At 44.2% G+C, this 27,172-nt stretch overlaps 2 protein-coding genes across 47 annotated transcripts in view, besides 3 other annotated features; one reads left to right on the forward strand and one right to left on the reverse strand.

Moving 5' to 3' along the window:
* Positions 1–2,524, reverse strand: part of DCUN1D3 (defective in cullin neddylation 1 domain containing 3) — a 45,434-nt gene extending 42,910 nt beyond the window's left edge. The window contains exon 1 of the mRNA NM_173475.4: positions 2,370–2,524. The gene's annotated coding sequence lies outside the window, so the exon portion shown is untranslated. The remainder of the gene's footprint in view (positions 1–2,369) is intronic.
* Positions 2,048–27,172, forward strand: LYRM1 (LYR motif containing 1). Of its 46 annotated transcripts, none has more exons than XM_047434379.1 (8): positions 2,704–2,907; positions 4,652–4,883; positions 10,820–11,682; positions 13,349–13,430; positions 17,722–17,880; positions 18,080–18,094; positions 22,288–22,380; positions 26,166–27,172. In XM_047434379.1, exons 5-8 carry the CDS (start codon positions 17,722–17,724, stop codon positions 26,280–26,282), a joined length of 384 nt encoding a protein of 127 aa, XP_047290335.1. In that variant the 5' UTR covers positions 2,704–2,907; positions 4,652–4,883; positions 10,820–11,682; positions 13,349–13,430; the 3' UTR covers positions 26,283–27,172. The 46 variants fall into 46 exon arrangements, 34 of the variants coding, with proteins under 34 accessions (XP_016878964.2, NP_001356560.1, XP_047290327.1 ...); XM_047434375.1 differs by lacking the exon at positions 2,704–2,907 and adding an exon at positions 3,208–3,592; XM_047434376.1 differs by lacking the exon at positions 2,704–2,907 and adding an exon at positions 3,208–3,530.
* Positions 2,084–2,133: an enhancer, noted in NCBI's record as "active region_10546". NCBI's record gives its function as "activates an Ori minimal core promoter by ATAC-STARR-seq in GM12878 lymphoblastoid cells {active_cell/tissue: GM12878}" and the evidence as "EXISTENCE:reporter gene assay evidence [ECO:0000049][PMID:35858748]".
* Positions 2,343–3,128: an enhancer, noted in NCBI's record as "NANOG-H3K27ac-H3K4me1 hESC enhancer chr16:20911499-20912284 (GRCh37/hg19 assembly coordinates)". NCBI's record gives its function as "activates a minimal SCP1, AML or CMV promoter by ChIP-STARR-seq in primed H9 embryonic stem cells {active_cell/tissue: H9 hESC(primed)}" and the evidence as "EXISTENCE:reporter gene assay evidence [ECO:0000049][PMID:30033119]".
* Positions 3,129–3,914: an enhancer, noted in NCBI's record as "NANOG-H3K27ac-H3K4me1 hESC enhancer chr16:20912285-20913070 (GRCh37/hg19 assembly coordinates)". NCBI's record gives its function as "activates a minimal SCP1, AML or CMV promoter by ChIP-STARR-seq in naive H9 embryonic stem cells {active_cell/tissue: H9 hESC(naive)}" and the evidence as "EXISTENCE:reporter gene assay evidence [ECO:0000049][PMID:30033119]".

The following is a 27,172-nucleotide window of genomic DNA, read 5'->3' on the forward strand; positions in this document are numbered from 1 at the left end:
CACTCAGCAGAGTGACTTTATTATGATAGTCCAACAGTACCTGCAAAAACAGTAAGTGATAAGACCCTAGTTAAGGCGACAGAATTAATCAACAAGCAGCATCATTTTCTACTTCCTACTCCTTCTGGCAATTTGTTTGCCTACCTATTCTGAGCCCCATATCCACCTCTCTGACCTTATCTCCAACTCTCCCCCGTGTTCACTAAGCTCTGGCTATTACTCACCCAACCCATCCTCTTTCCACTACCTCCCACCTACCCTGACCCTTTCTTCCCATTCCCTGGAACTTGACAAGCGCATTCCAGCCAGTTTCTGCACCAGCTGTTCCCTGAACCTGGAAGGATCTTCCCCTTTTCTTTGGATGGCTGGCTCCTTCTTTATACTTAAAGCTCAACTTAAGTGTCACTTCCTCAGAAAGATCCTCTTTGACTGCATCTACAGTTAAGACACTTTCAATCACATCACTCTTATTTTCTTCAGCGCTTGATCAAAATCTGGTTTACTGGGATATATATTATGTCTCTCTCTGTCCCCAGCTCCCACTCCGATGTAAGCTCCATGAAAGGGTGAACCTTTTGCTTGTGTTCACCTGTGTACACCCAGTGCCTGAAACACTGGCTAGCACTTAGGAGTCAATAAATGTTTGTTGAATTAATGAACTGTGAACTTTTTAGTCAATGGCAAACTAGGTTCTAAATCAGTTAAAGTGAGAACAGTAGTCATTCTTCTGTTGTATTTTTGTGAAACATCTAAACACGCTGTTACTGGTATAATCAAGCATTAAATATTCTGTTTTTTAGGGCCCGAAAGCCCTGAATAGGACTTCCTAGCATCAGATCTTCCTAGCACTATGCATATCAAGCTCAGTTACAGAAGGACAGGACTTACGGGCACTTTCTAATCAAAGGACTCCGAAAATGTAGGCACTATCTCTTAAAGTTCTTCAGAAAACAGTTTCAGATTCTACAAAAGATTTCCGAAGAATGTATCAACACCAAAAGGAAAATCATAACACTTCACTCTGATATCTGTCTGAGAGGCTAGAAGAGTGCTCCTTGATTTTTTTTAAACCAACAGCATATCAACAAAGAGGCCTTCTTTCCATTCTTTGCTTCAAATAATTTTTTCACATCCGTTATTGGTTTGTATTCGCCCTTAAACCAAAACTAAACAGATCACACTGTCTCATTTAGGACCCCCATACACAAAGAATCAGCTACGTAAAGATGAAAATCAGCACAAGCTGAACGTGTCACTGATGATTTGTGTGTCACACATAAATGGAGAAAAACATAAAAGAGCTATTGTCCAATTGTAGAAACAAAAAAGTAATATGGGGTTTTCTGTTCTCTGAAGTGCATCATGAAAAGTGGGTGGAGAGAAACACAGAAATCCAGAATTAGCCTAGCAAATCATTTTGGGAAGAGCTGACAACATGTAAATTCCTCACACATAAAGTATTTCGAGCAAGAGACCTTGATTCCTGGGCTATGATGCCATTCAGGATTCCTTGCAAAGGCTCTGGAATTCCAGTATTCATAAAAGAAAATGCTCATTATAATCGGAGCGTAAGAGGTACTCCCAACGTGACAGCCTGTATGAAGTATTACAAAGCTTACAGTTAAGATCTGGGATAGAGGCTGAACACCAAATTCAAAAGAGGTAACCAAGGCACTAAGTGCCATAAAGGAGGAAAGGGGAAGAAAAAAAAATCCACTATTGCCACTCAGCCACAGAGAATTAAAGTGGAAACCAGGGGTGTGCATGGGGGAGGATGAGGGGTGAGAAGTGCGGGGGGTGTGGTGGAGGAACAAACAATACATTTGTCACCCCGTCCCACTTCCTATAGAGGATACAGGCAAAGCCTCCAGCCTCATTACCTCGGACACAGATGGTTATCGTTTATAGCAAAGGTGCACAAAAAGGCCTTCAGGTCTGAGCCCCTTAATTCCAGGGCTGTTAATGATTAAAGAGAACGATGGGGGTGGGGAGGGAAATGAGGGCGGAGGGAGCTGGGAGATTCACCCACCACCTCCCCCTAGGGCTCCTACCTCACAGCGCTCACCCAGGACAGAGGACCAGAGTCTGCACCCCCTCCAGGGCAGCTCCAACCCCATATCCCCAGGCCCTGGGTTGAGGGGTGCTGGCGGTGGGGAGGCAGGGACAGTAGGTAAGTTTTCTGAGCCCTGCGGCTGACACGCCACAGGCTCCCCTCACAGCCTCTTCTTTCAGAGGTACCACTCCAGACAACGCGCTGACTTCCACTCCTCCCTTTCCACCCCCCTTTCTCGAAGGTACCCAACCCCCGCCCCTTCATCTCTCAATGCCCCCCCGCCTTTTCCTCAACTCCCCCCCTCCCCAAAACTCACAGCTGCTCCAGAGGTTCCTCCAGTCAAACCCTTTCTGGAAACGACGGCGGCCCGGCGGGTCCAAACCACCTACCATCCCCGCTCGCGTTTCCAGGCTCCCTACCCCCGCCGCCGCCGCCTCTTCTTCCACCACTGCCACCGCCTCCTCTTCATCTGCGGCCCACCGGCGGCGGCCGCCCCGAAGCCCCGCCCCCTCCATCGCCTCCTGCATCATCACTTCCGGTAACCCCGCCGGCCGCCAGCTCCAGGAGGGAGAATGGGAGAGGGGCAAGGAGGGAACGAGTGGAAGATTGCGTCACGACGCACATAAAGACGTACGAAGCCGTCGCCAAGTAAGGGCAAAGACCTAGCAACCCGGAGGGAGCTGGGCTGGACCATTTTTTTTTCTTGTTTTACGGGAATGGAGCGGGGAGGATAATGAAAGCGTAAAGGAAAAATAGGGGGAGGAGGAGCTCAGCTTATTGTTGGATGCGGCGGGAGATGGGTAGAGTCAGTCAGTCGAGACTCCCCCAGACCTGGAACTGGTGCTCCCACAGAGGTGGGCCCGGTGGTTTGGTCCGGCCTGGCCTACTGGACCAGCCTGTGCTCGGTCGGCCACGGCTCTGCTGGGCTCCTGGCGCCGCCTCCTCCCAGCCCGCCGCGGGCTGCGCGCTTCTGTGGGTGGGGGAAGGCAGGACTGACGCAGAGTGAGTGTAGGGGATGGAGGCGCCGACTCCAGGCGCGGGAGACTGGCGGGGAAGGGGTTGGCTCCCCACGGGCAGGGATGGTTTGGAGGTTGGGCTGCGGCGTTGCCGGGAGACGGGCCTGTGTGACCCCAGCTTCGCGGGGGCGGCTCGGTGTCATCGCCACCGGCCTCGGGGACCTGCCTCACGGAAGTGGCTCGCGCGTCCAAGAGGGGAGGCCTGGTGTGGGGACGCTCAGGTGCCGGCGTGGGGCCCCCTCGGAGGCTGTGAATCTTTTGGACCCCCGAATGTAAATGGGAGATGGTAGGGGCCGGTCCGGGGGCGAGAGGTGTCTGGCTGGGGAACGTTGACCCACACCAGGTCCCGTACAGGAACGGAGACTCCCTAGGACCGTGAGAGCCAGCTTCGTAATTCTCTTGCTCTTCAAACCTGAGAGTAGGGTGTTGCTCCGTTACCTTCCATTCGTGTGCAGGAGAGAGTTAAGTAAATCAATAAAGAAGGTATCAGCAAGTGAGAAATGCCCCCCAAAGACCGGATGAGGTGACAGAAGATGGGGGGAGGGCCCCTCGAAATCGGGTAAGGTCGTTCAAAGGAGGCCACGGTTTTGCGGGGATCCGAGACAATGGGTTTTCTGGGTGGAGAGAAGAGCCAATGAGAAGGACTTTTAGGTTGGAAACAGCCAGAAGGCCATGTGGCTGAAGCAAACAGAGCCAGGGCCGGAGTGCCCTGTGATGTAGTTGGGGAAGTGGCATGACTGTAGCAGCGCCTTTTAGCCCAAGGCAGGGGTTTGGCTAATGTGTACCTTAAGGGTTTTAAGAAGGGAAGTGACCTGACCTGATTTACATTTTTAAAAATCCGCTCTGCCTGCTGGATAGAGAAGGGTGGAAGTAGTTAGACCTGTTAGGAGACTGTTGCACTGTAAGACAAAGGAGAGGTGAAGATAGTGTTGAAAGGGCCGGCCGGGCGCGGTGGCTCACGCCTATAAACCCAGTACTTTGGGAGGCCTAGGCGGGCGGATCACGAGGTCAGGAGATCGAGATCATCCTGGCCAACATGGTGAAACCCCATCTCTACTAAAAATACAAAAATCAGCTGGGCGTAGTGGCACGCGCCTGTAATCTCTGCTACTCAGGAGAATCGCTTGAACCCGGGAGGTGGAGGTTGCAGTGAGCCAAGATCGCGCCACTTCACTCCAGCCTGGGCAACGGAGTGAGACTCCGTCTTAAGAAAAAAGAAAAGGCCCTCAGTCACAGTGGAAATGGAGAGAATTCCATTCAGCATATATTTGGGAGGTAGTGCTTGCAGGACTTGCTGGGGAATTGGATGTGAAGTGTGTAGGAGAGGGAGGAACCAAGGTTAACTCCCTACGGGAAAACAGTTTAGAAAGGAATATCGAAAGTTCTCTTTTGAACATATTAAGTTTGATAAGTCTATTAACAAGTCAAATGAAGTTGTCAAGAAGTTAGATATACAAGTCGGGGAAAAATCATAGTTGGAGATAATAAATAAGGAAGGCAGGGAGGAGCTCCCAGATCACCTAAGAAGAGCGTGTAAATAAAAGAGGAAGACCCCTAAATCCCTTGGGTTCTTACCATTTAGAGAGTACCCAGAGAAGGAGAAGCCAGCAAAGGAGACGACACAGACAAGACCTCAGAGATCAAAGGAAGAGGCCCCTTAATATCCTGGAATAATGGGACCCATCCCCGTAATCAGTGAATCTCATCCACCCGCTTGCCAGCTTCTACCCGCAGCAAGTAGAAGCTAAGTCCTGGCTCAAATCTCTTCCCTCCCTCCCTCTCCCAGCTGTCAGTGCTTTTGGACTTGTGCTCAGGTAATTTGTGTCCGTTATAGAAAACCTGACTTTTTGGATAAATTGTCTGTTTATATGGCTGTCTCCCCCAGGTACTGTTTCTTATTTGTGTCTTCCTGGCTCCTGGTACAGAGCCTTGTCCATATGGTGGTTGTAGCTGGGCAGGAACACTGTGTTCATAAGGTATCAGCCATACAATCCAACAGCTTCTCACAAAAAGGGGCTTTTGTCCCTGCCACTGCTGCCAAGCCCACCACAATTACGATCAGTTCCACAATATAGTGTAAAGGGTATCAGAAGATGAATAAGAAGGCCTGGGTTTCAATCCTGGATCTGCCACTGACCAGCAGAGTGGCCATGGATAAAGCTCTTCTCTCTGAGCTGAAGGGTTGGCCTAGATTTGAAGTTGCATACTGACAAGACAGATATTGCCTGCAAACATATTGTTCAGCCCACACAGTGATTTAAATTCTTTTTTAAATTTACTTGCCAACATTTAAAAATTGGACATCAAAATCCAGACTTTGGGCTTCATTTGAAAAATCCGACAATCTGACAACACCAGCCTGAAGTTCCTAGAGGTTCCTACACAGCAACTGTCAGCCAGAGCTGAAGAGCTGTCTCCCGTCTATGTGGCTCATGCTCAGGGTTTGCCAAAAAGGCCTCTCCTCTCCTGCTACCTGGCTGACCCCTGTGGGCATTTGATTTGCAATTCTTGGTCTAGGGCTGTGCTATCCCTGTGTAGCCACTGACCACATGTGACTATTTAAATAAAAATTCAGTTCCTCCAACACAGTATGTTTCAAGTGCCAGTAGCTACCTGTGACAGGTGTGTGTCCTATTGGACAGAGCAGATAGAACCTTTCCTTCACAGAAAGTTATCTTGGTCAGCATTGGACTGGAGGAACTCGAGGGTACTATGTAGGCTAGTCATTCTCCGCATGTGAAACTCAAGGGACTTAGCCTACTGAGGAGCTCTGGTGCCTCTGCAGATGGGAAAGTTGCGCATTCAGTAGTTATTTGATGGTGGAGGAAGCTGTCCTGAAGGCCTGGACCCCTGCACAGAATGTGGTTATTTATCAGAGAGTTGGATCAAGGGTCAGGTGCTAGAAAGCCCCAACTGTATCTAGTGTGGCATGCAAAGCTCTTTGGTCAGTTTCCTAATCCAGTTCCTCAGAAAACTATAACAAAGCAAGAACTTAAGTCAGTGTCTTGTGTTCTCAGACTTTTCGATTTGATATGAAGGGTGAAAGATCCTGGCTGGGGAGTTATGAATGAATGAATGAATGAATGAATGAATGATCTTTAGCATTGGCCTTCAATTCCAGCCCCCCCACCACATCTCTTCCACTGCCTTCTACTACTAGTAACTGGTGACTGCTTTTTCACCACCTCTGACTGACCCGTACCTTTTCTTTGCCTGTTAAAATATGCTAATAAGGAAACATACTTCCATTTCTTTTGAATTGAGGGGCCCATAACTTTTCATTTAGAACTTCTATCCCTGATGGGAAAAATAGCTGTATATCTATTGGTTGTTATCTTGGTTACAGTAGCCTGATTGGAGTTCCCCTGTACAAATATAATCTTGTGTGCGCTCCGGTGCTGGTATGATATATTTAGAATGGGTGTGCTTGCCTCCTGTGATCTTGTTTGGGATAGACATTTTAGAAGTCTTTCAGACATTTTTTGTTTTGGCCCCGTGTTCTAAAAACTTCCCATATTACAGGGCCTAAACTAAATTATTTTCCCTTAGGTAAAATAAAAATGCCATCCACCCTCTCCTCCCTGCCCCCTATTGCTGACAGACCATATTCTTATCATTTTCTGTGTAAAAAGATGCTGTTTCATAAAATAGCTGCGGTATGATTAAGTATACCACACAAGCATATCCTGAAATTTGCAAAACAGTGTGTGGCATGTGAGGCATTACACTTCCCTTTTTGGATTCTAGTAACCAAAAACTGAATCTGAAACAGGAAATAAGTCTGTGGTTGTGTGTGTGTGTGTGTGTGTGTGTGTGTGTGTGTTTAATTGATAGGAGGATATGGGACCAGAAATGTATGGAGAACAATTTCACTTAAAGGTTATTGGATTGGGGTAAGAATATGGGTGTACACCAAAAAGGAGGGAGTATAACAGATCTAAGAGAAAAGTGCCCTGAGGGATAAACAAGGAGTAAGAGATAAAGGAAGAAAAATAGGAAGGGAAGCCTGGTCATGCCTTTGGTGTTGGCACCTGCATTATATTTCCAGTAAGAAGTATGCGCTGTGGTCTGAAGATAAGCGGTGCTTCCAACAGGGTTATTTACTCATACCAAAGAACAATAGTCCTTTGCTGTACAGGGATTATTAATGATCAGAGGGAAACAGCTTTAGGAAAATCCATTACTACCACAAAGCAATAAATTCACCAACAGGCCACACATTTCTCTCCTATTCAGACAAAGCTTAGCATAGATAAAAGAGACCTCGTTGTTCTTCCTCTGTTTCCTCCTATTCAGGTAACATTTGCCTTTGTTAACTCTCAGTGCTAAGTGATGTTACATGGATTATTTCATGAATAATCCTTACGACTCTGAAAGGGGTTCTGCTATTACCCCATTGTACATTCTAAGAAACCAAGTCTCAGGCAGTTAATAATTTGCCCAATGGGGTAAAGTCAAGATTCAAACCCAGCCTTGTCCGCCCAGAGCCCAAAATAAATGTTCATTTATTTTGTATTATATCTGCTATTCCTTACAAATGGGACAGACATTCCCTACTCTGCTATACAGGGCAAGAACATCTGGTTGCTCTGACATTAGCAAGAGCATTTCAATTCTGTAGAGGTTTTCCAAATGATAGTTTTAAGTCACAGTTTTCTAGATTGATTTTAACCCATGATCATTGAGTATAGTGGACCTTATTCCCCAAAAGGATTTTTTCAGGAAAAAAGTATCAGAACCCCATTCTTCTATGTTTGGTTCTAAACTTCATGGAAATATTATAAGGTATTTCAGTCCAGTGGACAAACCCTAACCAGCCTTAAGAAAACTTAAGAGTGAGGGTTACATCATAGCTGTGTCTCTTACGCTGTTCTGGATGAAACTGATGAGGATTCCTCCCCAAGTAACACTGAGTCTCCAGTTCTTTATCCTGACACACACTGCTCTTGAAAGCATCCTAGTAAGGGTTAATTAGTATTTAACCCTTCAATGCTCTGGGATCATCAGTTGGGAAGCTTGTCCAGATACCATCGTGTGTATCTCAGGATGAGAACATACGTTATCAATGACCATTCTGTGTGTGTAAATTTATTCTTCTAATACATATTTGTCATGTTCCAACTATGTGCCAGCCTAGGCATGTAATGTACAAGACAGTCCCAAATCTCCCCCTGCTCTCCCCACCTCCTACTCCCTGCAACACACACATGGTGGAAAAAGAAAGGTAAGTCATGCAAAATTATGATAGAGTAGGATGAACATTATGACAGGGGTATGCCAGAGGTGCCAGGAGTGCACATAGCCGGGACACTGACCCAGCCCCAGTGTGAAAAGGGCACCCGTCCAGAAGTGATGGAAGTCAAAAGGTGGAAGCAGCAAATAGGCAAAGAAAGGGTATTTCAGTTGTATGAAGTAGAGAGGCTTCCTATGGCAAAAAGAGGGACATTGCACATACAGAAGACCATGATCTCATTTGGGTGGAGTTTATGATTCCCCCTCCTTGCTAAAAAATCATAAAGTACTTGGGAGAGAAATTTGACTATACTACGGTCATGAGTTCTGATGAGGGAAAAAATTCCACCTAGGGGTAGGTCTTTCCTGAAATAAATGGAAAGGGGTGTTTAACTTCCTGGGGCTTGAAAATCAGGGTAAATTCCTCTTGCCTTTGTCCCATTTCTTATTTGTACTGCAACACATTTTCTTTAGAAGGCAAAGCCTCATGAGAGTCCAGCATTTGGAATTTGGACATTCCTGAGACCAGAGTCATACTTCTATAAATCTCAGCTGGGGAAAGGGAATTTTCATCTCTGCTCTTAAATTCCTAAGTGTTCATGCTGCAATGGTCTTTCCAAAGGCAGAGGAACTGTTCCAGAGGTGGGGTAAAAGGGCACAGTGGATGAGGCCCCTCATACCAGCAGATCTTTCCATAGTCCTCCTGTAGAAACACCAAGTGTCTGGGTATGCCTTGTACAGTAAGTTCTTGGAACCTCCCCAGACCCTCTCACTGCACTTTGGACAGTGAGTGGCAGAGTGGGTGGGTGTTTGGTGTTTGGTTTTTGTTTTTGTTTTTTAGACTGATCGCTGCCCATTATGAGTCCCCATTACTGACTCCAAAATAGAAAAGCTTGTGGTCAGTCAGGAAAATGATCATCCAGCTTTTTTGGCTCTTGACCCTGACTCCTGTCAACTAATTAGGGGCATTAGGCAAGATCTTGTTTCACCATCTGTACAAGTGTTGGAATTATAAGTAGTTATGATATACAGTAGTTTGATATACAGTGTATTTAAAAAGATATAAATCAGACCGTGTTACTCCAGCTTGCATAAAATCTACCAGTGTCTTTTGCGCTTAAGACCAGAAACAAAGTGCCTTTCCAAGGCCTACCCCCAACCTGTGCTGGATTCTGTGGACCTGTGGCCCCTTTCCCAAAGGCTCTTGTTGCATTCATGTTCATCTTTTTTATTTTCATTTTTTGAGATAGAGTCTGACTCTGTTGCCCAGGCTTGAGTGCAGTGGCGTGATCATAGCTCACTGCAGCCTTTATCACCTGGGCTCAAGGGATCCTCCCACCTCAGCCTCTGAAAGTGTTGGGCTTATAGGCATGAGCCACCATGCCTGGCTAATGTTTTTATTTTTCAATGGAGATGGGATCTCCCCGTGTTGCCCAGGCTGGTCTCAAACTCTTGGGTTCAAGCAATCCTCCCACCTCAGCCTCCCAAAGTGCTGGGATTACAGGCATGAGCCACCATGCCCTGCCTCATGTTCATCTTTGAAGTCGATTCCCACGTCACATCCTTTGCTCCTGTTGTTCCCTCTACTTGCACCAGCTTCCCCTTACCTGGGTCCGTTATTAGGTTCCATCACACCATTCAGGACTCAGCTCAAATGTCACTGACCACCCAGAAAATAACCCCCACCTCTGGTCATTTGTATCTTATTACTCTTCAGAGCACATATGACTGTCTGAAATTCTTGTTCTTGTACATCATCTGCCTATGCCACTAGAATATAAGCTCAAGGAGGGTAGGGACCATGGCTGCTTATTTATCACTGTATCCCCAGAAACGGCAGGTGTCTGGCACATGGTGGACCTTCAATAAATGTTGAGTGAGTGGATGGATGGATGGATCCTTGGAAGGGAAGAGTAAGGCCTACCAGGTAGTAGCACTGTAGTGAGCCCCTGCACTGGTGGCTTTTATGTTGGCTCCATTGGAGTCAGAGGGGACAGGGTTGCCACGGGGAATGGAAGAGCAAAGCGGTGCAGCCATGTGCCCAGCCTGCTTAGAGCATGCTGGTGTGTAACATAATTAAAAAGGGCGGTTGCAGGTTAGGAGCAGGGGCAGGTGGCAAATGGGGAAGGCTATTGGAATTCACATCAATGTGCAAAAAAATTGCTTCCTTTGCTCTTTGTATAGAAAGGGACTAGAATTATTTAGTTCCCTTTGTCACAACTAGCTAAGCTCTTTAAAGCAATCAACAGACATTCAACATTTATTGAGATTGAACAGTGTATTTCGTGATTAAAAGCATGGGCTCTGACTTCAGACCAGCTGAGTTTGAATCCTAGCCCTGCCTATTGTTAGCTGTGTGACCTTGGACAAGTTACTTAGTCTCTGCATCAGGTTCCTCCTTTGTAAAATGGGGATAATGGTAGTATCTGCATATATAGAGTACCTAGCAAATTATCTGGCACACAGTAAATGCAAAGCAAATGTAACTTTTAATATTTTTCTTACTGTAATGAACAAGATACAATCCCTGCCCTTCAGGAATTCAGACTCAGAGAAGAAAAAACAGAGTGAAAGAAATGCAGAACTATCTGCTGGCCATGATAGAAGCAAGGAAAAGGTTGCTTTGGAAAAGCTTAATAGCAAGTAGGTGTCTGTTTGATGGTGTGGGGTGGCTAGCAGAAAGGAGACATTGTAGGCAGAGGAAGACTCAGCCAAGACAGACAGAAGTATGACATGGCAAGGCACCTTAGAGCAGTAGCTCCCAAACTTCAGAGTCCACATCACAGTTTTTGCTGTTTACCTATATTTTAAACTAGCTTAAAAAGTTTTCTAATTCATTTCTTTAAAGGAAGCTGTATATCACATAAAATCTAAATCACTCAAAATTATGGGTTTGATGGGCTTTTCTAATATACAGTTTGTATTGTATATCTAAGATCACCTCCCCAACCAATCTTTGGGACACTTGGCATTAGGGGACACATCTCTTAACTATGACCAGAGGCCACAACACACTGGCAGCAACATCTGTCAGCCTTTTCTTAGTGGCACAGGCCTGCACATCACAGAGGCTTGGAAATGATCCTCACCTCCACACATGTATATCCCTGTGTTATAACAGGGCGTGATTTTTAAGAAAAGAGACCAGCTTCTAGTCCCATTTCTTTCCAGGCACACCTCATATCTTCTGTCTTTCTTCATTCTGGGATTTGGGGGTTAGGGAGATGAAAAGGAGTAAAGAATTGGAAGAAATGTCGGTCTCAGAATAAAGATTATAGAAGGTTAACTTTTAAAAATCTACATGGATAGACTTCGTGACCAGCTGAGACCGCAGTTGAATTGTGGTCCTCTAAACTACTGAATATTCCTGATGTATTGCTGGTAAGAAAATCCCAGCAGACCCCATTGTATCAGATCAACCCCTGATGTAGTGAAGAAGGAAAAGGGCTTCCTTAGTCTTGCATTAATTGTGAGAGATAATTGATAGTTTTAGAGCAATAAATGTTGGTTTCAAGCCATTAAATCCATATTCGGGAAAAGCTGATTTTTCTAAATAAGTTGCTTTCTAGGAACAAAGACAAAAATATAAAAAGGAAAAGAGCTTTTTAAACTTTTTAAAAAATATATGGCTGATTCTGTTTCTAGAATCACAAACTTTCTATAGCACAGGATACTCTCAATTATTCAGCAAACATTTATTGAATACTGATTATATACCTTTCTAGGTGCTGAGAATTCAGCAGTAAAGAAGATGAATGTGATCATTGTCCCCCATAAAAATGAGAGTTTACTGGGGGAAGACTTTAACAAACCATTACTTAAGTGAGGAGTGCTATACAAACAAGAATATTAGGACCTGTGAGAAGGTTCAACAGAGAGCCCCAACCCAATGGGTGTGAGGGAAGCAGGAAGATTTTCTGAGACATCCATATTTTCACTGGGAACGGCAGGATGGATAGGGTTGGTCAGGTAAAAGGGAGGGGTTCAGGGGAAAGCCTTCTAGAAAGAGAAAACTGCATGGATATGTGCCCCTAAGGCAAGAAAGAACATGGTTCCCTCAAAGACCTGAAACAAACCCAGTAAGAAAAGAACAAAAGAAACATTTTTCTTTTCTTGCCTTTTCTCTCAAGACTTGGAAGGAAATGGTAGGCTAGATTTAATAGGACACAATGGTGAATACAGCTTTAGACCCTTCTCTCAGGAAATCTTTGAAACTTGGGTTTTCTGGGTCACCTGATGTTGCAGAGTGAGACATCACATAAATCCCTTTCAGGATTAGTTTTCAAAACACTTAAACGTTAATTAAAGTGTTTTGAAAATAGTCCTATTAAGTACCAATTGTTAGCACTGCTCATTACCTTGAGGGTATTAACCTAATTGCAGGGCTTGTGTATCAGATTATGGTATATGATCAGTTAGAGTTTGAAACAGTGATTCTTAGAGTCATAGAAGGAAACTAATTAAAGTTAGATTTTTAGAGAAGGTTGCTTTAGCCAGTTGTTGTGGCGCACGCCTGAGGTCCCAGCTACTCTGGAGGCTGAGGCAGGAGGCTCACTCGAGCCTGGGAGGTCAAAGCTGCAGTGAGCCATGATCATGCCACTGTACTCCAGCCTGGGTGACAGAGCGAGACCCTGCCTCTAAAAAAAAAAACAACAACAACAAAAAACCTTGCTGCTGATTGAATATGCCTGACCTTGGTCACTTTTCTCAAGTGTCTTGCAGTCAAGGAAGTTCCGTCTGTTAATGACAGGGAAGTGAAGCAATCATTAAGAGATGTTAGTTACAGACTCCCTGTACCTCACAGGAACTGACTCATGTATTTTCATATGAAACCATGGAGTTTTAGGGAGAGCCAGAAACTCAGAAACCTGTTTCCTTACCAGGAAAAATGTCATCATCTCATCTGGGTTTTTATTACAATAAGCCACAAAGCATGATGTTCTCTCTTGGTTTTTATGAATTCCTTGTAAGCATTTTTTTCTGTGCAGCCTCATAGACTCAGAATTGGTATTGAATATAACTTTGGTCCTTTTAACCTTTGAATTAGGTGAAGTAGTATTTGAAGCTTTTCATCAGTTGGCTCATTCTTTACTCAAGAATAAACCTCAAGAAACGTCATCAGGGTCAGAGTAAGTGCTCATATTGGAAAGAGAAATTCTCTGTAAGTTGAATTCCTTGCAAGTACTTAGAATTTTGAGGTAAACGTGCCCACTTCCAGCTCCAATCTGCATTCTTTAGCTGCTCAAATTCTCATAATTTCAGGACTACCCTAAAGCATATTATCTCCACCTCTTATGCCTTTCCCTCCATAAGTTGAAAATGGATCATGTTCCCAAAAGCAAGCAGTGAGCAGCTTACTTCCCGATCCTGATGAGCCTGTTAGAGGAAAACCCAGAACTCAGAATGAGGTGTCCAGCTGCCTGGCCTTGCTACTTACTCACCAAATCTGCCCTCCTTGTCTTCCCACCCTGTCTTCTGGTTCAAGGCTGTACAATATTCATTGTTCTAATTCTGACTAATCAGAATCTTCCAGTAGTGGGACTTTTTTTTTTCTAGCTTCCCTGAATTTATTTTAGATATAGAAATGTAAATAGTTATGAAAAAAGGAGAGGGGGGGCTGAAATACTTTGTTTTTTCATTTTTATAGAGATAGGGTCTCTTTATATTGCCCAGGCTGGTCCTGAACTCCTGGCCTCAAATGATCCTTCCATCTCAGCCTCCCAAAGTACTGGGATTATAGGAATGAGCCACTGGAGCCAGCCTGAAGTTTTTAAATAAGTTGTTGGGGTTTGCTTGTTTGTTTTTGAGATGGGGTCTCACTCTGTCACCCAGGCTGGAGTGCAGGGGCTCAGTCTTGGCTTGTAGTGCAATCTCAGCTTACTTTAGCCTCCCGGGCTCATACGATCCTCCCACCTCAGCCTCCCAAGTAGCTAGGACTACAGGCACATGCCATCAGCCCTGTCCAATTTTTGTATTTTTTTACAAAATGAATGTTTTGTTAAAAACATGTTACCGAGGTGGGTCTCAAACTCCAGAGCTTAAGTGACCTGCCTGTCCCAGCCTCCCAAAGTGCTGGGATTACAGGCATGAGCCACTGCACGTGGCCTTAAATAAATTTTTGTTGGTATTTTTGGGTTTTTTTTGTTTTTTTTGAGATGGAGTCTCACTCTGTCACCCAGGCTAGAGTGCAGTGGCGCAATCTCGGCTCACTGCCAGCTCCGCCTCCCGGGTTCACGCCATTCTCCTGCCTCAGCCTCCCGATTAGCTGGGACAGGCGCCCACCACCATGCCCGGCTAATTTTTTTTTGTGTATTTTTAGTAGAGACGGGGTTTCACCTTGTTAGCCAGGATGGTCTTGATCTCCTGACTTTGTCATCTGCCTGTCTTGGCTTCCCAAAGTGCTGGGATTACAGGCATGAGCCACCGCGCCCAGCCGGCCTTAAATAATTTTTTTTAAAAAGGAAACACCTAATATCCATCAGCAAAATAGATAGTACATTGGGATATCTTCATACAGCAGGCTGAATTGCAGCACTGAGAATATATGAACCAGAGCCATGTGTAACAACATGGATGAATCTTATGAATGTTATGGGCAAATAAAGCAAATTGCAGAACTTACCTATAAACTTTTTAAACTTGCAAAGCAGGCGGGGTGCGGTGGCTCATGCCTGTAATCCCAGCACTTTGGGAGGCTGAGGCAGGTGGATCATCTGAGGTCAGGAGCTCGAGACCAGCCTGACCAACATGGTGAAACCCCATCTCTACTAAAAATACGAAATTAGCCAGGCGTGATGGTGCGCACCTGTAATCCCAGCTAATTGGGAGGCTGAGTCAGGATAATCACTTGAACCTGGGAGGCGGAGGTTGCAGTGAGCCGAGATTGCGCCATTGCACTCCAGCCTGGGCAACAAAAGCGAAACTCTGTCTCAAAAATAATAATAATAATAATAATAATAATAATTAAATAAATAAATAAAACTTGCAAAGCAATACTATAAATGTTATGTGTAAAGATATGCACAATAAACAATAAATTCAGCATAGTGATTCCTTCTAGGAGAGGAAGGGAAATGTTATTTGGAAGGGGTACAGTGGGGGTTTCTACTGGATACATAATTTATTCTTTAAGGTCTGTTGTAACTGTATGGCTATTATATTGGTCTCAGTATCTTTTCTTTGTTTTTTTTTTTTTTTTGGAGACAGAGTCACTGTTGCCCAGGCTGGAATACAGTGGCGTGATCTTGGCACACTGCAACCTTCACCTCCTGGGTTCAGGTGATTCTCGTGCCTCAGCCTCCAAATAGCTGGGATTACAGGTGGTTGCCACCACACCTGGCTAATTTTTGTATTTTTAGTAGAGACTGGGTTTCACCATGTTGCCCAGGCTGGTCTTGAACTCCTTACCTCAAGTGATCCACCTGCCTCGGCCTCCCAAACTGCTGGGATTACAGGCATGAGCCACTGTACCTGGCCTCTATATCTTTTTGTATCTGAAATATTTTGTAATAAGAATTTAAAGATACTGGGAATTATGCTTTTGAAAAATACAATTAGCTTTACAGAATATACCTACGTCCGTTCTCTCTTGGCCACATCTTCTGAAATTAAAACTGATGTTTGAGACTAAAAACCCAGAGGGGCCTTGAGATCTTCAGTCATCAGAAAGATTTTTTTTTTTTCTTTTTTTTGAGACAGAGTCTCGCTCTGTCACCCAGGCTGGAGTGCAGTGGCCGGATCTCAGCTTACTGCAAGCTCCGCCTCCCGGGTTCATACCATTCTCCTGCCTCAGCCTTCTGAGTAGCTGGGACGATAGGCACTCACCACAACGCCCAGCTAATTTTTTGTATTTTTAGTAGAGACGGGGTTTCACCGTGTTAGCCAGGATGGTCTCAATCTCCTGACCTCGTGATCCACCCACCTCAGCCTCCCAAAGTGCTGGGATAACAGGCATGAGCCACTGCACCCGGCCAGTCATCAGAAAGATTTTTAATTATACTTATTGGACAAGAAAGTAGACCAACGATTTTGAGAAATATTTCCAAAAAGGTTGTGACAGACTAAAAGAGAGGTTGCAACCTGACAACCTCTGGGTGGAACTGAGCCTACAGACTCATTTTGTTTGGCCTGTACAGTCGTCACTTTTTTTTTTTTTTTTTTTTTTCTTTTTGGAGACGGAGTTTCACTCTGTTGCCCAGGCTGGAGTGCAATGGTGCAATCTTGGCTCACTGCAACCTCTGCCTCTGGGGTTCAAGCAATTCTCCTGACTCAGCCTCCCAAGTAGCTGGGACTACAGGCACATGCCGCCACACCTGGCTAATTTTTTTTTTTTTTTTTTTGTATTTTAGTAGAGACAAGGTTTCACCATGTTGCCCAGGCTAGTCTTGAACTCCCGAGGTCAAGCAATCCACTTGCCTCAGCCTCCCAGAGTGCTAGGATTACAGGCGTGAGCCACCACGCCTGGCCTCACATTTTCAAAAATAATGACTTAGTGTGTTTTTTTGAGATGTCATATTTTTAAAATCTGGATTGCCACCTATTTTTAAGCTATCAGGAAATCTGGCATTCCTAGGCACTTCTTTCTACATGGCAGCTGCTGGCTGGAGCTGAATGGCAACTGTTCCCTTTCAAGGGGGCATTTCCTGTCCAGGTGGCCACTGTCCCCATCCAAGCAAGTCCTCTCATTTATATTACCTGCCAGGCCGCAGAGGCACTTGAGTTTGTAACCAGTGGATTAAATTCCATTTCTCCCTTAACTAGAAAATTCAGTTATCAAAAATATGCCTTCACCTAGGCATTCAGGTGAGTAATATAATTTTACTGGACTGGCTTAAAGAATAATAAGTGTGAGCTTTGGTTTTGCCGTGTTCATAAATGTGGCCACCATGGCAAACGATGTGGTTAAGCAACCCTCAACCTCGGGATGAATTACAAAGCCAGTTGAGAGATACGGTGTTTCTATTAGATGGTTTCAGCAATGCTACCCAACAGATTTGTTGAGAAAGAGCAATTATTTCTAGACTAATTAAAGGTCTTAATTAAAAAACTGTACATCAGCTGGGCACGGTGGCTCACGCTTGTAATCCCAGCACTTTGGGAGGCCGAGGCGGGCAGATCACGAGGTCAGGAGATCGAGACCACGGTGAAACCCTGTCTCTACTAAAAATACAAAAAATTAGCCAGGCGTGGTGGCGGGCGCCTGTAGTCCCAGCTACTCGGGCGGCTGAGGCAGGAGAATGGCGTGAACCCGGGAGGCGGAGCTTCCAGTGAGCCGAGATTGCACCACTGCACTACAGCCTGGGCGACAGAGCAAGACTCCGTCTCAAAAAAAAAAAAAAAAAACTGTACATCTGCCTGGTGCCTCCTGTCAAGTTGCATTTTTATGCAAATTTTCCCTCTTCTATTTTGGTGGGTCTGAAGATGACAACGGCAACACGACAAGAAGTCCTTGGCCTCTACCGCAGCATTTTCAGGCTTGCGAGGAAATGGCAGGCGACATCAGGGCAGATGGAAGACACCATCAAAGAAAAACAGTACATACTAAATGAAGCCAGAACGCTGTTCCGGAAAAACAAAAATGTAAGTAGGCCCCACTTGGAGATTGTGCAGAGGAGAGTTGTTCCTTATGATATTTGTTTATTTCTTTTCGGTCTTTAATCAAGAGGGCTGAGCCGCACAGTCATGGTGGCAGAACTTGGGGCAGGAAGGGGCCAGTGCACAGCTTGGCTAGCTTGCCTGACCACTGGGAAGCCTGTGTTTCTCTCTTCACTTGTTCCAGGTCTCAAGCCAGCCAGTAAGTGGCTCAGTGTCCTCAGAAGACCCTATGAGCCAGGTGACATGAGCAGGCCAATGAGTTTTCAGAGGAGGAGCCAGTCCTCATACTGTACCAGTTGCTGGCCACTCCCATAGGAGGTGTGCAGGAAAGTGGTTTTTTGTTGTTGTTGTTGTTTTTTTTTTCAATTCATAAACTATTCAAAGCCTCTAAATATAAACCCATTTAGAAGGAAGAGAATAGGATTAAGACACAGGGTTTCCTTCATAACAGCTTTGAACTCAAGCCTCTTTGGCTAGCAGAGTGAGATTGCCCTTTGGGACCACAGAACTGGGTAAAATAGTGTCTCCATTAGCTGGTTTAAGGGAACTGCACACACAGCAGGGAGCCAGATTGGACCACCCCCCTACAAACCCTAAAGCGTTAGCTGTTAGCTCCGGGGAAGACCTCCCGGCACTAAGCATGGAAAAAGGCTTTCACACCCGACTTCTCTTCCGTCTCCTCACTGATCTAATGGATTCAGCGCGGTCACTGCTCCCCTCATGAAACTTCCTAACAGTCTACTCTCACCACTTTTCCCTCTCTGACCTCTGACTGTCTCTCTTCAGCCGTGTCATCACACACCCTCCCGCCAGCTGCAGGGGTCCTCTGAAGGTCAGCCCTCTGTGCTGAGGCCTGTGCAACATGCAGCCACCTTGTGATTTAAGCTGTCACATCTGAATCCCCAGCTTTGGCCTCTGCCTGGCCACCTGAAGGACCTCACCACGGCTCAATGGTCCAAAGCAGGGTCATCTTTCTACAGGAGTGCCTCCCCTTCCCCACTGGCCCATTGGTGTCACAGCTCCTGTCACCACTCTGCAACTCTTTGTTCTCATTCCTCACTCAACAAATATTTGATTGCCCACTATGTGCCAAACACAAGACTAGATGTCGAAGACAAACATAAGCCAAACCAAGACACATCTGTCAAAGGCATTTGAGTTAGATGGAAAGAAATATAAAATTACAGTTGGGAAAAGTGCTACAAAGGCTGGACATGGTGGCTCACGCCTGTAATCCTACCACTTTGGGAGGCCAAGGCTGGAGGGTCAGTTGAGCCCAGGAGTTCGAGACAAACCTGGGCAACATAGCGAGTCCCTGTCTCTTAAAAAAAAAAAAAAAAAAGCGTTACTACAGAAGCCCTCCTAATCTGCAGCAACTTCCCCTTCTCTGAATCCCTGATGCCTCTAGCTTTTCAAGGCTGACTTATGAAGTTTCTCTCTACCCTGCTGACCTTCCTCCAAACCCAGGTTCCCCAAACTTTTTCTGCTCTTAGCATAGACCATGCTTGCCAAACCAGAGTATATGTACCCCATGAGGTCCTTAAACAATCCTCTAAGGAATGGAAATAAAATACAACTGCTATTTCTATTTATCCTTTCATCTTTCTAAAAAGTCTGTCTGGTACACAGTTACAATGAACTTGTTAGTACATATATATAATTTATAAATTAATACATTTATAAATTAATATAAATACATATATGGGGCTGTGGGCTCAGAAATATTTCAATGAAAAGAGTAGGTGATTGGCCAGGTGTGGTGGCTCACGCCTATAATCCTTACACTTTGGGAGGCTGAGGCTGGTGGATCACTTGAGGTCAGAAGTTTAAGATGAGCCTGGCCAACATGGTGAAACCCTGTCTACTAAAAATACAAAAATTAGCTGGGTGTGGTGGTGCACACCTGTAGTTCCAGCTACTCAGGAGGCTGAGGCACGAGAATTTCTTGAACCCAGGAGGCAGAGGTTACAGTGAGCCAAGATCATGCCACTGCACCCCAGCCTGGGCAACAGAGGAAGACTCTGTCACCAAAAAAACCAAAAAAAGAGTAGATGATCAAAAGGCTTGGAGATCCCTAAATAGTTGTTTATATTCTCCTTTTTTCTTCTTTATTTTATTTATGTTGGCATGGTTTTCCCAACCAGATCATCAGTTCCTTGAACATATAGACACGTTCTTATACTTATCTAGTATATCCCAAGGGACCTCCTTGTGGTTGTCACTAAATGAATGAGCAGCTATAAATACTTTGATTTAACTGACCTCCTCCAGGAAATCTTCCTCAGTTTCTCTGCTTCCCCCTCAACCCCATGCTGGCCGCCTGTTCTGAATTCCTATAGCTGTCTGTAGCAGTCACTGCATCCATTGATTATATACCACTGTGCCTTTTCTGTAGCTTCAGGTATCAGAGTTGTTCTGCCCAAGTAATAACTTTGATAGTTGAAGGCACTGTCCAGCCTGCGGTATTGGGGATATCATAGTACATGCCCAATAAACCTTTGCAAGCTCACTCACCTGAAGACTACTCAAGAGTTTCGGTTTTCAGTTATCGCAATAACCCTTCCTTTGCCTCGGCTTGGATTGGCTCGAGGAGTGAGCCAGAGGGAGGTGTATGTGCCACTGATGGTACATGAGATTATTTGGGAGTGGGCGGAAGAGGTACATGGGTTCTTAATTTTAAGATACGTACTTGCTTTAGCATGTGTTATAAAGGACAGAGAATATTAGACCACAGTTTCACAAATGCTATTGCTTAAGAGAGTCCATTTAATGAAAAATTTTAACATTAGTATAAGTAGTATGTGGATATGGCAGAATCATGCAGCCAGCCCGTGAATGACTGAATTTGGAGTACTGTAGCCCAAGCTTGTTCAGATAGACAGCTGAAGCCCCAGAAGCCCCAACCCCCTTAACCATATCTTTGTCAAGGGCTTTTTCTTTCTTCCTAGTCCCTCATGCAGACATAATGAGTTTCTTGTAACTTTGATTACTCTTAAGAGTTTAATAATCCAAAGGTATCCCATGAACTGCTCTGAATCTCAGTGGGCAAATGGGAACATGGAACTCTTTTCCAACACAGACAGCAAATCAGTGGCTTCTGAGAAGCACAGAGGTCAGAAAGTTGGGCCTCTGCCACAAGGGACTCACAGCTGTGGTTCTCTGCATTGCTGTTCCTGGAACTCTTCTCTGCTCCAAGAGGTACCATAGGACAGGAACGCCCTTGAAATTTCCAAGCCACATGGACCCAGACTTTGCTGCGTGGGTGTCATCTGGTGCTGATGCAATCCTAGCTCAGCTTTGAAGTCCACTTGCAAACTCCTAGCAGAGCCACGTCTTGATTCATTTTCCTACCTCATAATGAAAGAGTTTCTCCCTTTTTCCTACTTGGCTGTTTTTCAGAATGAACTTTTTATTCCTTTAATTGAGAGTGGATTACCATGATTTGACTATTTTGGAATTTCAAAAGCCCTTTGTTCCCCTTACTAATGAGCCAAGGCAGTTGACAGTTTAAGAGGTGTAGATCATTCTCCAGTGTCCTACTCTGGGGGTTTCAGGACAGCACTTGCAGAAACCATGGGGTTACTTTAAAGTTTAATCAACATGAGGGGGGTGTGAAGAAGCACTCTCAGTCAGTGTCGGTGAGAATATAATTTATAGATTGTTGGTAGGAATGTAAATTGGTGTGAACTCTAGAGAGTAATCTGGGAATATCTGTGAGAATTAAAAATGCATGAATCTATGCCTTTGTCCTAGCAGTCCTCTCTCTCTAGGAATTCATCTTTTAGATACATATGCATGTAAGCAAAGTAATTTTAGAGAGATCCATAGCGGAATCATTTATAATAGCAAAAAATTGGAAATAACTTAATTATCCATGGGTAGGAGATTGGTGAAATTATAATAAAGCCTTCTGTTGGAATTTTATATAGCTGTTAAAAAGAAGGGAGCAGCTCTATAGATAGAATATAGAAGGAACCTCAAGTTATGTTCATGAAAAAGCAAGGTTCAGAACAAAGGGAGCTATTGTTTGTGTGAGAAAAATAATCAGCTTCTACATACATGTGCATTTTCACATATACATAGAATACCCCTGCAAGAACACACAAGAAACTGCTAATTGTTGTCTCCGAGATGAGGAACTGGAATAGAGGAGTAAGAGGGAAACGTAGTTCTTATGTTACATCCTTTTGTATTATTTGAATTATTTTTACCTACTTTAACGATTTTAAAAGTTTATGGTAAGCTTTAATATTAAATTGCTTTTGATTTTCCAAATTAGTAACATTTCATTTACTGGCTAGTGAACTAAAAAAGTTTGAGAAAATGTATACCTATACTCTATGTACCATTAGAAAGATACTATCAGCCTCATTTCTTTCTCCCTTTTAATAGCTCACGGACACAGACCTAATTAAACAGTGTATAGATGAATGCACAGCCAGGATTGAAATTGGACTGCATTACAAGATTCCTTACCCAAGGCCAGTAAGTGTGACTCCGGTTAACAAGTGCTGGGTACTTACCCTCATCAACCTGGTTATTTCCAAGAATGTGTAACAAGAGGGCGAGTGCTTGCTGAGAAGCCCAGAGCTGCTGTGGGAGGCATGTTGGAAATAAGCTATCATTGCATGCTGCCAGCCCATCACAACAAAGTAAAATGTCAATGAATGCATGACGTATCCTGCTTACATAGCTTTCCACGTATGGAAGGGAAAACCAGCTCACACTGTAGAGCTTTTTCTCTTTTCACTTTCATCTTTTTTATGGAAATGTGTTTAATTATAAAAGGCAGGTTTGTTGTTACTAAAAGAATAAAGTTCAAACATGAAAGGAATGCATAAAGTAGAAAGTAAAAATGGTCAAAAATTCTCATCCAGGCTAGGCACTGCGGCTCATGCCTATAATCCTAGCACTTTGGGAGGCCAAGGCAGGAGGATCACTTGAGGTTAGGAGTTTGAGACCAGCCTGGGCAACACAGTGAGACCCCATTGCTATACAAAATTTAAAAATTAGCCAGGCATAGTGACACACTCCTGTATTCCCAGCTACTTGGGGAACTGAGGTGGGAGAATTGCTTCAGCCCAGGAGGTTGAGGCAGCAGTGACCCATGATCACACCACTGCGCTCCAGCCTGGGTGACAGAGTGAGACCCTGTCTCAAAAAATAAATAAAACTTAAATTTATATATATAAATTTAAAATAAAAAAATTATATAAACTTAATACATTCAGAAAGTTAAGAAACAAAATAAATTTCAAATTTATATGAATTTAAAATAATAAATGTATATAAATTTATGTTTTCTTAAATTCTTTCATACCATAAATTTAAAACAATAATTTAATTTAAAAGAAGTTTTATTTATTTATTTATTTGTGGAGACTGAGTCTTCGCTTCATCACCCAAGCTAGGTACAGTGGTACAGTCATGGCCCACTGCAGCCTTGACCTCCCAGGCTAAAGTGATTCTCCCACCTCACTTCCCCAAGTAGCTGGGACTACAAGCATGTGCCACCACGCCCAGCTAATGTTTTAATTTTTTGTAGAGATGGAGGTCTCACTGTGTTGCCCAGGCTGGTCTTGAACTCCTGGGCTCAAGCAATCCTCCCACCTCAGCCTCCCAAAGCTCTGGGATAACAGGCATGAGCCACCGTGCCTGGCCAGAAATCTTTTTTGTTTGTTCGTTTTTTTGGAGACAGAGTCTTACTCTGTCGCCCAGGCTGGAGTGCAGCATGATTTCTGCTCACTACAACCTCTGCCTTCCCAGTTCAAGTGATTCTCATTCCTCAACCTCTCGAATAGGTGGAACTACAGTCGTGCACCACCACACCCAGCTAATTTTTTGTATTTTAATAGAAACAGGGTTTCACCATGTTGCCCAGGCTGGTCTTGAACTCCTGAGCTTAGGCAATCTGCCCACCGTGGCCTCCAAAAGTGCTAGGATGACAGGCGTAAGCCACTGCGCCCAGCCCAAATTTCTTAAAAAAAAAAAAAAAAAAAAAAAATTTCTCATTGTGCAGAGGGTGAACACTTTAACTGTTAAATGGAAAATTGCCAATATTCAACTCTTTTAGCTACAAAAACAGCAATTTTATATTGTAGTGGCTCAACCTAATTAGTTTGGTAGTATACCCTTTTAGTCTTTTTTTCTGTATTCATGTACCTACATTTTCTTTACATATGTAGGATTCTGGATATAATGTTATACTGCGTACTTATTTTACTTCATGTCTTCTGCACATCTTTGTATGTAGCTCTCCCTCAATCTTTTTTTTTTTTTGAGACAGAGCCTCACTCTGTCACCCAGTCTGGAGTGCAGTGACGCAATCTTGGCTCACTGCAGCCTCCTGGGTTCAAGGGATTCACCTGCCTCAGCCTCCTGAGTAGCTGGGATTACAGATTACAGGTACACCACCACACCCACCTAATTTTTGTATTTTTAGTAGTAACAGGGTTTCACCATGTTGGCCAGGCTGGTCTCGAACTCCTGGCCTCAAGTGATCCGCCTGCCTTGGCCTCCTAAAGTGCTGGGATTATAGGTATGAGCCACCACGCCCAGCCCAATCTTTTTTAAATGATTGCATTGTATGCTATTGTAAGAATGTGCCATTGTGTTAGGGTTCTTCAAAGAAACAGAACCAGTAGAATGAAGATATGTACATCTAGGGACAGCTAGATGTATATGTGAAGAGATTTATTATGAGGAATTGGCTCTCTATTTATCTAGACAGAGATACATCTAGATACGCCTGAAAGGAGTTTTTTTGGTTCTTTTTTTTTAGACGGAGTCTCGCACTGTCACCCGGGCTGGAGTGCAGTGGCACGATCTCGGCTCACTGCAACCTCCACCTCCTGGGTTCAAGCGATTCTCCTGCCTCACCCTCCCAAGTAGCTGGGATTACAGGCCCCCGCCACCATGCCAGCTAATTTTTTGTACTTTTAGTAGATATAGGGTTTCACTATGTTGGCCAGGCTGGTCTCAAACTCCTGACTTGGTGATCCGCCCACCTCAGCTTCCCAAAGTGCTGGGATTACAGGCGTGAGCCACTGTGCCCGGCTGAAAGGAGATTTATTATAAGGAATTGGTGCATGTGATTATAGAGGCTGAGAAGTCCTAGGATTTGCCGTCTGCAAGCTGGAGACCCAGAAGAAAGCTGGTGGTATTACTCAGTTTGAGTCCACAGGCCTGAGAACCCAAGGGGCCAATGGTAGAAATCCCCAGTCTGAGGCCCAGAGAAGATGAGGTGTCCCAGCTCAAACAGGCAGGAAGCAAAAGGAGCCGCTTCCCCTTCTTCTGCCTGTTTGTTCTATTCAGGCCCTCCATGGATTGGATGATGCCCATTCACACTGGGGAGGGCCATGTGCTTTACTAAGTCCACTGATTCAAATGCTAATCTCATCCAGAAACACCCTCACAGATACACCTAGAAATGATGTTTAATCTGGGCACCCATTGCCAATCAGATTGACACAAAAATTAAGCATCCTAGGCCAGGCACGGTGGCTCATGCCTGTAATCCCAGCACTATGGGAGGCCAAGGCAGGTGGATCACTTGAGGTCAGGAATTCGAGACCAGCCTGGCTAACATGGCAAAACCCCATATCTATTAAAAATACAAAAATTAGCCGGGCGTGGTGGCGAGCACCTATAATCCCAGCTACTCGGGAGGCTGAGACAGAGAATCACTTGAACCTGGGAGGCCGAGGTTGCAGTGAACTGAGATCATGCCACTGCACTCCAGCCTGGGTGACAGAGTGAAACTGTGTCTCAAAAAAAAAAAAAAAGAAAGAAAGAAAAATTAACCATCCCAGCCATAATTTAACCAGCCCCTCTCTTGCTAGGCAGTTAGTTTGATCCCAGTTTTCTACTATGCACAGAACATCTTTATATACACACACTTTTCTCCCCTTCTTTGGATTCTCAACTTGCTATGTGATCCATGCTCGTTTTTTCTCCTCTATGCAGGCGATATAGCAAAGAGCACAGGCTCTGGAATCTGACAGATCTGGGTTCAAATCCTGGCTTCCCTTCTTAATGTATAACCTTAAGCAAGTTTTTTAACTTCTCTGAGGTTTCATTTCCTCATCTGTAAATATTAGAATAATAATCCCTTATGAGGTTGTTGTAGGATTAACTTGTGTAAAGATTAATGAATCAATGTAGATACAGCACTTAGCAGAGAATATGGTACTTTCTGAGTAGATCCTCAGTGAATATGAGCTGCTGCAATGATGATGAATATGATTCTTCATATTATTGTTCTTATTCAGATTCATCTGCCTCCAATGGGCCTTACCCCACTCCGAGGCCGGGGACTTCGAAGCCAAGAGAAACTGAGGAAACTTTCCAAACCAGTATATCTCAGATCTCATGATGAAGTTTCCTAATCTAGAGGAAAGTTTATTTCTGCAAATGATGAGCCAACTAGTTATTGAATGTAAACCAGATGGCAAAACACTTCTTGATTAGGGGCAAAAATTCAAATGTCTTCTTAAAACCTCCACAATTGATTCTCCCCCTGTGATGTAAACTTAGATATCCCTAGAGTTTCTCAGCATCTTTCTTCCTGAGTGGATGGCATTATCCCTAGAGGTCATGGACCTTACATCCTCACTGCAGTCACCTTTGGAAACAAGACCGAGGCCTGTAGAAGGAAAGCGGAAGGATGTAAGAGCTGTTCATGGGAATTCCATTCACCACACATGCCAGCTGATGCAAAGAAATTTGCCAGTCACTGGAAGTTACTGTGGCTACTATAAAACTATGTACCACTCTCAGAATATTCTTAGGCTTTTTTTTTTTCAAGTTATAGATTTGCTTAAAGTGAGGTTTTTTGGTGTGTGCTTTTTTGTTGTCTTTTGACCCTTCCAGTTTCCAGACAAACTTGTCTTAAAAAGTGCATCATTGGATTGACCATGGTTTTTCATGAAATTTTATGAGATTTCTGCCTTAACAAAATGCATATATTCCTTATCTTAAAGCCTGTCATTACTTAGGATGCACTTATAGGATCTGAAAAGCTCACTTTAAACTCATACTACATTCGTTACGAGTATTTTACGTTAACATAATTGAAAAGTACAAGGTCCAAGCTGGCTTTCAAATTATGTCTAAACAGAAATGGGACAAATAGACTTGAAAATAGAAGGGATTTATTCCACCCCTGCAAGGGTAGAGTCAGGTGAGAGTCCCTTGGTGAGTCATTTGTACATCAGTGTCATTTCTTCTTAACCTCTGAAGAAGATGGGCATCAGAAATAAAGACAAAGCACTATCAA

The sequence above is a fragment of the Homo sapiens genome, chromosome 16, assembly GCF_000001405.40.
Source record: "Homo sapiens chromosome 16, GRCh38.p14 Primary Assembly".
NCBI lineage: Eukaryota > Metazoa > Chordata > Mammalia > Primates > Hominidae > Homo > Homo sapiens.

Excerpts from the sequence above, each read along its gene's own strand:
- LYRM1 (XM_017023475.2), top strand. The coding sequence starts at position 2,324 with ATGCCCCCCCGCCTTTTCCTCAACTCCCCCCCTCCCCAAAACTCACAG. Across the intron at positions 2,702-17,721 it reads ACGTACGAAGCCGTCGCCAA|ATGACAACGGCAACACGACA; the intron begins GTAAGGGCAAAG and ends GTGGGTCTGAAG. Across the intron at positions 22,381-26,165 it reads AGATTCCTTACCCAAGGCCA|ATTCATCTGCCTCCAATGGG; the intron begins GTAAGTGTGACT and ends GTTCTTATTCAG.